The sequence below is a fragment of the Homo sapiens genome, chromosome 6 (assembly GCF_000001405.40).
Source record: "Homo sapiens chromosome 6, GRCh38.p14 Primary Assembly".
Classification (NCBI taxonomy): domain Eukaryota; kingdom Metazoa; phylum Chordata; class Mammalia; order Primates; family Hominidae; genus Homo; species Homo sapiens.
The window spans coordinates 54,593,440-54,604,439 of record NC_000006.12 but is presented as its reverse complement, the minus strand read 5'-3'; the positions used below and the strand labels follow the sequence as shown (position 1 = coordinate 54,604,439).

At 36.6% G+C, this 11,000-nt stretch overlaps 1 pseudogene; it reads left to right on the top strand.

Moving 5' to 3' along the window:
• On the top strand, positions 1,224–1,851 carry RPL10P10 (ribosomal protein L10 pseudogene 10; annotated as a pseudogene).

Below are 11,000 nucleotides of genomic sequence, written 5' to 3'. Positions count from 1 at the left end.
TGGAAGCAACCAAGACATCTTTCAGTAGATTAAAGGATAAGTAAAGTGTGGCCCATAAAGACAATGGAATGTGATTCAACACTGAAAGAAAATGAGTTATCAAGCCATGAAAAGACATGAAAGAAATGAATGCATATTGCTAAGTAAAAGAAGCCAATAGGTAAAGGCTACATACTCTATGATTCCAACTATGTGACATTTTGGAAAAGGCAAGACTATAAAGATAGTAAAAAGATTAGTGGTTGCCAGTGGCTAGACGGGTGGAAGGAATGAATAGGTGGAACACAGAACATTTTTAGGGCAGTGAAATTACTCTGTATAATATTATAATGGTGAATTCCTGTCCTTATACATTTTCCCAAACCCATAGAATGTACAACACTGAGTTAACCCTAATTAATATAAATTATGGTTTGGTAACAAAGATGTGTCAGTGTAGGTTCATCAGTTGTAATAAATGTGCCACTCTGATAGGGGATGTTGATGCTGTAATGGAAAAGACTGCTTATGTGTCAAGGCAGGGGTTATACAGGAAATTTCTGTGACTTCTGCTCAATTTTGCTGTAAACCTAAAACTACTCTAAAGATAAAATCAATTTTTAAAAAGCGGGCTGGGTAAGGTGGCTCATGTCTGCAATCCTAGCACTTTGGGAAGCCAGGCAAAAGGAATGCATCAGTCCACCTGTTGCAGTCCTAGTTACTCAGGAGGCTGGGACAGGAGGATTTCTTAAATCCAGGAGTTTGAGGTTACAGTGAGCTATGATAGCATCACCGACTCCAGCCTCGGCAACAGAACAAAATCCTCTCTCTAAAAATAATAATGAAAACTAATGATTTTTAAAAGGAGATATTCTTGCTTAAATAATGGACTTAAAATAATTTGTTTATGTTTACATTATTTAGAGGATTCTATTTCAAGCTTTATCCATAGAGTAATTAGGATTTTCTCAAAAATCTGTATTTTCTAATTATTGTAGTTAATAAAAAATAGAGAAATACTGGCATCATGAGAAATATACAAATCTATGATACCACCAACCACCTATTAACCAAGGTTATTCTGTTCTTAACTGAATCAACCTATACCTCTGCTATTTGGCAGATTGGTAGAAAGAGATGATACCCAAAAAGGCTTATTTTATACACTATGTAAATTCAAGTGTATAAAATATATTGATGCCACAAATAAAATTAAAAAGTGTATATTAAATAAGACTTCCTCACTTTTCATTTGGCATGCCACTTAAAATTCTGGTATCTCCATGGAACACTCCACTAGGTATTACTGATATTGTAAAAACAAAACATACCCAAAGTCTGGCTTCTGCAGAGGTGTCCCTGATGCCAAGATTTGCATTTTTGACCTGGGACAGAAGAAAGCAAAAATGGATGAGTATCCACTCTGAGGCCACATGGTGTCAGATGAATATGAGCAGTTCTTCTCTGAAGTCCTGGAGGATGCCCACATTTGGGCCAACAGATACATGATAAAAACTTGCAGCAAAATTGGCTTTCATATCCAAGTGTGGTTCTACTCCTTCCAAGTCATGCAGAACAGTAAGATGTTGTCCTGCGCTAGAGCTGACAGGCTCCAGATGGGTATGAAAGATGCCTTTGGAAAGCCTCAGGGCACTGTGGCCAGGGTTCGCATGAGCCAATTCACATGTCCATTCACTCCAAACTGCAGAACAAGGAGCATGTGACTGAGGCCTTATACAGGGCCAAGTTCAAGTCGCCTCACCAGCAAATGATTCACATCTCAAAGAAGTGGGGCTTTACCAAGTTCAAGTCAGATGAATTTGAAGGCATGGTGGCTGAGAAGCAGCTCATCCCAGATGGCTGTAGGGTCAAATGTCATTGTGGGTTTTGCCATTAAAAGTAATTTCTTTTGCACCGCCCTAATACATCCTCAACTGTGGCCTCCTGGACCAGTGGCAGATGCTACATTCATGAGACTTTCCACTGTGCCCTCTCCTCTTTCTGCCCACCAATAAATCCTACTTCCTATAAATAAATAGTAAGTAAGACTTAAATTTAAGCAAATACAGACCTACCATTTAATAGCCTCGTGAAGCTGGGCTTGTGATTTCTTTAAATCTAAAAGTCTCCAGACTTTTAGATAAGGGTGAACTAACACCTATCCCATAAATGTCTTATGCTAGTGTTTTATGCTAGAGTGCCTGGGATAAAAGAAAAGCCAAAACCCTATTACCCATGTTAATATTGAGCCCAAAAGTAAATCAATAGCAGAAACAGAATCAAGCAAAGCAGCTGGGATAGATAACTGTAAGAATTTCAGAAAGAGTAAGCAGGAATTTTACTCTTAAGCCTTGGCTGGAAAAAGAAGTATTCCCATTACTATTACAGAGTTGGCTTTATACAATGAGTAGCATATTAGTAAGAAAAATGCCTATGGGTGTTAGGAATGTTTATAAGTCTATTAATTTCAGAACTAACACTTTCTGAATTCTTCAAGGTGAAATCAGTTTTTATTCTTCCTAGCATTGATCCGTCTCCACAACTCACTCTAAAAAAAATCAATGGCAGTTTCTCGCTGGGCTCTGTTTGGAAGGAACTGGAAGCAAGTCAAACAGCTTTGGAGTTTATTTTTGTTAAAGGGTGGGCACAATAGAGGATGTCCTCGACATCTGCAGCATCTGTGATGAATTATTCATTCCTGATTATTCTGAGCAGACAGACTTGTTTGCAGCAATATGTCACACATATTACAAAAGTTAGAATGCAAATGAAAGGGGGTCAATCTTATTTTTAGAACCATAAAAATTTCTTAATGTTTAGAAATATTGTCTTAGATGTTAATGATAAGAAATCTTTTAAATCAATTTTTGGCTTCTAATAATACCTTACTCTTATGTTTATATTTATATTTTATTTATCAACATTTTAGTGGTTGGATCATATAACAATCTTATTTTTATGGGTATTCTGGAGGATAAATCTTAAATATGACATCTCATTACTAATTTAACTTGAATTGTCTTAACTGTTTTCAATAATGGGTTGAATATAGAAATATAATAAAAAGTCATTTTTAAATTAGTTTGAATACATGTGAATCACAATTGAGAAACGTGGTAAAAAGAAAATTCCATTTTTTTCTTAAGAATAAAATATGAATTTAGTCTTAGTGTGTGCTGTTTTATTTTGCAGTTTATTATGAATAAAATAATATTCAAGAGCTATCTTTCATTTAACTAAAATGTATGTAATTGCTGATAAATGTGCTGCTCAAATATTCCTTATTTAGAGTATAGGTAGCTGCTATTGAGGCCATATGTATCATTTGCTAAAAAAATACCACTTCATATTTTATCTATACCAGACCCTCACCAAACTCTTCAATATCTCCACCATTGTCATCAGCAATCAAGAGTGAGCATACTTGTTTGGTCATGGCTTTGCTACCTTGATAATATTTATAAGATTTTATTGTCAGCCTGCTTCAGTGAACTGATGAATAACTGTATTAGTATTTCTATGGAAAAACATTGTCTCTCCACCTACAATAGATAGACCTCAAAGAACTTGTTAGTTGAAATGTTGGTTGGTACTGTCAAAGTTATCATTTCTAAATTGGTTTTCTATTATATTCCTTTTCAATACCCACTTTTATATGCCAGATTTACAGTTATTATTCATAAAGAATTTGAAAAATTCTGATAATTAACATGGAGAAAACTTTAAAATGATATGACACATCACTTTGGAGAACTCTATACTTATTTTGCCATATTTCCTTCTAAGAATATTCCTGTCTATATTCGTGTCTTTCATATATACAGTTTTTTTAAGGAGCCACTGAATCATATTATTTTTAAGCTGAATTTTTTACTATAATATCTTAAGTATCTTTGCATTTTATTAAATATTATACCACAACAAAATTTTAATGACTACATAGTATGAACTGTATGAATGTACCATGGTTTCTTCTTTATTTTCTAATTTGTCCTGTATTAGAAATTTAGGCTGCTTTCCAATATTTAGCTTTAGAAGCAATTTTGTGATGAACACCATTGTAGCTATACTCTGTCCATATTTCTATTTCCTTGGGATAAATTCTCAGAATAGCAATTCCTGGGTGAATATATAAAAACCTCTTGGCTGGGCATGGTGGCTCATGTCTGTAATCCCAGCACATAGGGAGGCCGAGACAGGAGGATCGCTTGAGCCCAGGAATTCAGGACCAGCCTGGGCAACATGAAGAGACTCCATCTTTACAAAAAAAATGTTAAAAAATAGCCAAATGTGGTGGTACGCACCTGTGGTCCCAGCTACTTGGAATACTTGACTCCAGGAGGTAGAGGCTGTAGTGAGCCATGATTGCACCACTACACTCCAGCCTGGGTGATAGAGTGAGACCCTGTTTCAAATAAATAAATAAATAAGATTTTCAATAGGTACTGACACATTGTCTTTCAGAAATATATTAGGTTTGTGCAAAAGTAATAGTGGTTACTTTTAATGGCAAAAAATTGTGATTACTTTTGCACCAACCGAATAGTATCAATTTATACTTCCACCAAGTATGTTTAAGGGTCCTCTTTTACTTGACCCCTCATCAAAACCTATGGTCCACTATATTCTTCAGAGTATATACTAGAAAATCAAGGGGGAGACATACAATCAGGGATGGGGGAATAGTGAGAGTAGAAATAGGAAGACAAGGAGGCCATGACCTCCAAATGTTGGATAAATCACAACTCTGAGATCACTGTGGAATGAAGAACGTGTTTGTTTGGGAGACTTTGAGGTCCACTGTGATTTTACTATATGATTCCCTGAAAGTCTCTTTCATGACTTCCCAAGAAATTTCTCATCATTGGTTTTCTCAGGAACTTTCTGCTGTACGAGTTTGAAATGTCAGGGCTAATTTGTTCTCTCAAGAGCCTGATTATAAAAGCATTTTAAAATCATGAAAATCTATGCAAACATAGAAAATATCGATAGAAAAATGCTATGGGTGTTAGGAATGTTTATAAGTCTATCAATTTCAGAACTAACACTATCTGAACTCTTCAGAAAGTTAGAAATTATGATAATTCATACTAATATCCCAACAAGCTGATAATCCCAAAATATTGTTAGAAATATTAATTATTCATAATGTGTCTCCCATTTAGTGTCTTGGGATTATATCTTCTCTCACCTGATCACTGAAGAACAGAGCACACACTTAGCCTATTATTATAGATTGCAAAATAATTTATAGAAGAGAGATTAGATGATCTATAAAAATACAGTCACTCATTGCTCAATTTACTGGGCACAGGTTCAAAGCATTGTTCAATGTCTTTCATTCACACTGTGTTTCACTCTTCTGTATCCAGCTGGCTGCTTCTCAAGACTCACATTCACCAAGGTCATTAATATTTTGAGGTAGAATTAAAGTGTGTGTGTGCATGCACGTGTGCATGCGTGTATGTGTGTGGAGAGAGAGAGAGAGAGCACGTGCGCAGAGATTTGAGTTCACTTTACATCAAATGGAAACTGCTATCCCAATGCCCGTAAAGGCAAACCAGCCTCTATACTCTGCTTAGGGATTCCTCCAACTAAGTTTTTTCCTCTGTTGGATACACTGCATTTCTTCTCTATCTTGAGCTACTTTTCAAGTTTTAATTATCACATCTGATTTTAGCTAATATGCTTTTTAATTCTAAAATATTTATATGTCAATCTTATAATTTTTCGCTGTGGCCTACAACATCAATTATGAACTCATTTTCATAAGATCACTCAGCTTAATTTTCCTTAGGAGAAAACCTTTTGTCATTTAAATCCGTTAAATATATCTTCAGCCTCATTTCATTTGAGGTTGACTTGGAAATGGTTTCGTTAGATAGAATATCAAATTATAAAAATTGAATAACTATCTTTATAAATATATAAAGTTGGATCTTACACTACCATTTCAAAATAAGCTTGTTGAAATGGCTCTACTATGAATTTTATAGCTCAAGTTCATTGGACTGCTTATTTTTTATCTAAATAAAATTATGTGCCATTTCTATAGGATGAATGACTCAGAAGACACATTTTAAAAATTCTGGCAATTAATGAGTGTCTACATTTAAATCCGTTTTCTTTTTTTTTTTTTTTTTGAGATGGAGTCTCACTCTGTCGCCCAGGCTGGAGTGCAGTGGCGCCATCTCGGCTCACTGCAACCTCCACCTCCTGGGTTCAAATGATTCTCCTGCCTCAGCCTCTTGAGTAGTTGGGATTACAGGTGCCCACCACCACACCCAGCTAATTTTTGTATTTTTACATAGTAGAGATGGGGTTTCACCACCTTGGCCAGGCTGGTCTGGAACTCCTGACCTCGTGATCCACCTGCCTCATCCTGCCAAAGTGCTGGGATTACAGGCGTGAGCCACCGCACCCAGCCTAAAATTTGTTTTCTTTAATCTTTCAAACCCATATTCTAATAACTACAAGTTGTCAGTGTTGATGGAGAAATAGATTTAACATTATAAAGTTCCTTTTTCTAGTGCTCACAGACTTTTATTTCCCTGTTTCTTTTAAGTAATTTTTAATGTGTAGCTTTTAGAATCTTTGAAATAAAAGCAGCTTGGTTAATGAAGATGTTAGAGCATTAAACTTCTTTCAGGAGGTCCAAAATTCTTATATGATCTTATTTGTATATCCACTTAATTCATTCTGCCTTTTGCAATTATTTGAACTATTAATTTATTATTATTATTATTGAGAAAAAGTCTCACTCTATCACCCAGGCTGGAGTGCAGTGGCATGATCTCGGCTCACTGCAACCTCCGCCTCCCGGGTTCAAGTGATTATCATGTCTCAGCCTGCCAAATAGCTGGGATTACAAGCGTGCGCCACTATGCCCTACTAAGTTTTGTATTTTTAGTAGAGACGAGGTTTCACCATGTTGGCCATGCTGGTCTTGAACTCCTAACCTCAAGTGATCCACCCGCCTTGGCCTCCAAAGTGCTGGGATTAGAGGCGTGAGCCACCGCACCCAGCCTGATCTATTATTTTAAATATTCCTAAACAGTTGTCTCCCTTTACCATGGTTCCACTTTACATGGTTTCAGTCACTCACTGTCCAAAAAAAAAAAAAAATCAAATGGCAAATTACAGAAATAAACAAGTCACAAGTTTTAAATTGTGCTACTCTGAGTAGCATGATGAAATTTTGGCTATCCTGCACTCTCCTCCTCTGGACATGAATTATCTGTCCAGCAGATCCACATTGTAGACTTTCTCTTTCCATGAGTAACCTAGTAGCCCTCTCAGTCATTAGATCAACTATAATGATATTTCAGTGCTTGTGTTCAAATAACCCTTATTTTACTTAATAATGACCCCAAAGCACAAGAGTAGTGATGCTAACATATTTTTGTGATTGTTCTATTTTACTACTAGTTATTGTTGCTAATCTCTTACTGTGCCTAATTTAGAAATTAAAATTTATCATAGGTATGTATGAGTAGGAAAAACACATAGTATATATACAGTTCAGTATTCTCAGTTTGCAGGTATCCATTGGGGCTCCTGGAATGTATTCCCTGTGGATAAGGGGTAACTATTGTATTTCAGTTTGACAAAAAGAAGTCATGTTTTTAAATAAATGTTATCATTGTATATTTAGTCTGTATTAGAGCTATTAAGATTCATTGGTTTGCTGGGATGGAAAGTATAACAACAGCCCCCAGGGATATTCAAGTCCTATTCTGTATGTTAGGTTATTTGACAAAGAAAAATTAAGGTTGTAGATAGATTGAGGTTGCTAATCAGTTGATATTAAAGTAGGAAAATTATCCTGGTTTATCTAGGTGAGCTCAATATAATCACAGGAGTCCTTAAAAGTGGAAGCGGGAAGCAGAAGAGGAAGAATCAGAGGGTGGCAGCATGAGGACTCCACCAGTTGTTGCTGGAGAAAGGGGCCATACACCAAAGAAAGTGGGTGACCTCTAGAAGCTAGAAAAGACAGGGAAATGGACTTTCCTCTCAAGCCTCCAGAAAAATACATAGCCTTACTGACCCCTTGATCATAGCCCAGTGAGATCCATGTCAAATTTCTGATCTACATAATTAGAAGATAATAAAATTGTGCTGTTTTAAACCATTAAATACTTGGTCATTTATTGCATCAGCAAAAGAAAACCAATATAGTTGGTAATTTGGCTGCCTAAGTAAACATTTAGATTAAAATTCTACGTTATAATTTAAATAGGTTTAAATATACTTTGTTTTCCCAACTCTGATGTTTGACTCTATACTTTTTCTCCACATAGTTTTAGTTTAAGTTCTAGTGAGCATTTGTTTATTTTGCAAAAGGCCGCAAGCTGTCTCCCTGTTTCTGCTTATCCCTATACCCAGTCGTAGAAATATTTCCTGAGTTGCAATTTTCATTTCATCACCCTATTGCTCACAACTTGGGAATGACTTCTCAACTTCTTTCTCAATATAATTATAATTCTTGATTATGAGTTCTTTTTTCTCTACCAACAAACCCCACCTTCTTGGGCAAGTACATGTGCCTTCCCAGGGCTCCAACAGTACTTTGTCTATACTTGTATTCCCACCTTTCATTGCACTTTGGTTTACTCATATGCATCCATCTGCTCCCACCAGATTATCAGCTCTTTGGGATATTGGTATAGTGTATGGCACATGGAAGATGATCAATGTATAGTGAATACATGAGTAATTTCTACAAGAATACTTTCTAGCATCACATATATACTGTGCTTTTTATTGCTTCTAATTTCCTGTATATTCCACTAACCCTGCACTATACAGGAGGTGCCTTCCATTTGTTTGCTTGCTTGCTTTTAGACAAATGAATTCCTTTAATACTGGTCTCTCTTTATTCTAGAAAACATCCATTGCAAATCTTCACGTGCACCGATGCTGTCAGATGTTACTTTAATGATTATGTTTCAGTGAATTTTGGTGTCTGCGCATTTTGGTAGTGGAAAGGGCTAACTGTATTTTTATATGACTCTGAGATTGTATTTATTTTTTCTGTCTACTTGCCATTCCACTCATTTTGTTCAGCCTAAGGACTCTGGTGAAAGGAAAGGAATTGTCTCCTCCAGATTATTGACTTGACAAACTGGCATATCCAGGAAGGATACCAGGCTGTACAATTTTGAAACAATATTATATTAGAAATAAAGATATGTTTATTTAGCATGAAGTAAAGACAAAGAAGAAATCTATTTATCTATTCATCCAGAGATTGAAAGACTACCATATAAAAGAAGGAGTATATTTATTTTCGATTCATTGTTGTTTTAGACATTAGAACTTGGATCAATAGGTGAGAACTATAGGGAGAATCTAGCTTACACTACAATTAAATATGTCAGTTCTTTTTAATTTTAATTATTTTGAGAGATTAGAGTCTTGCTCTGTTGCCCAGGCTGGAATGCAGTGGTACAATCACAGCTCACTGTAACCTCAAACTCCTGGGCTCAAGCAATCCTTCTGTCTCAGTCTCTCGAGTAGCTGGGATTACAGGCACACACTCACGTTCCACTAATTTTATTTTTTATTTTTGTAGGGATGGGATCTTGCTATGTTACCCAGGCTGGTCTCAAACTCATGGCCTCAAGCAATCCTCCCACCTCGGCCTCCCAAAGTGTTGGGATTACAGGCATGAGCCACCATGCCTGGCCTATGTCAGTCTATGTGACTATGTAGGCACTGGTTTCCTGCATATTTTCTAACAAAGGTTGTGCCATCATCTAAATAAAGAAGATACATCTTTGGGGTGAGGACAGGACACCTCTTAACTCCATCTTATAAATAAAGTATGATATTTTTTATTCACCCTCAATACAAGATAGATGTTTAGAAAATAACTCTTGGGTTGAACTGCTTAGTTTTGAATCCTGGCTCCCAAGCTTCCTAGTTGTTTGATCAAGCAAACATTTTTTTTTTTTTTTTTTTTTGAGATGGAGTCTTGCTCTGTTGCCCAGGCTAGAGTGCAGTGGCATGATCTCAGCTCACTGCAACCTCAAGCCATTTTCCTGCCTCAGCCTCCCGAGTAGCTAGGATTACAGGCGCTCGCCACCATGCCTGGCGAATTTTTTTTTTTTTTTTTTTTTTTTAGTAGAGACGGGGTTTCACCATGTTGGCCAGGCTGGTCTCCAACTCCTGACCTCGTGATACACCTGCATCGGCCTCCCAAAGTGCTGGGATTACAGGCATGAACCACCGTGTCCGGCCGATCAAGCAAACTTTTAAAGTATTATGTGACTCATTTTTCTTCTCTGAAATCTGGGGAGTTTACTCCCAGTGCTATTGTTAGGAGTAATAAGATTAGGCATGTAAGATACTTGAGAAGAGGCCAGGCGCGGTGGCTCAAGCCTGTAATCCCAGCACTTTGGGAGGCCGAGATGGGCGGATCACGAAGTCAGGAGATAGAGACCAAGCTGGCTAACACGGTGAAACCCGTCTCTACTAAAAATACAGAAATAAAATTAGCCAGGCGTGGTGGCGGGCACCTGTAGTCCCAGCTACTTGGGAGGTCGAGGTGGGAGAATGGTGTGAACCTCAGGAGGTGGAGCTGGCAGTGAGCCGAGATTGCGCCACTGAACTTCAGCCTGGGCGACACAGTGAGACTCCATCTCAAACAAACAAAACAAAACAAAAACAAAAAAACAAACAAAAACTTGCCAAGAGTGCTTCACAACTGGATATCAATAAATGTTAGCTAACATTATTCTCAACAGTACTGGATTAGTTAGGAATGAGGTTCATTTCCCAATAACTAAAATACTTAATTGTTTTAATTTTACAATTATATATGTAAAACAGATTTTTACAAAAATTGGTAATAGAGTAACATGTTCCCCTCAAATCCCAACAGTAATATAAATTACTATTCCCAGTCTAATATATATCATATGAGAATTTTATATATATAAAATATTTATGACACCTATGTGTATGAATTTACCTATGTGTATACACACATATTTACTATACTGCACCGTGTTTTCTTG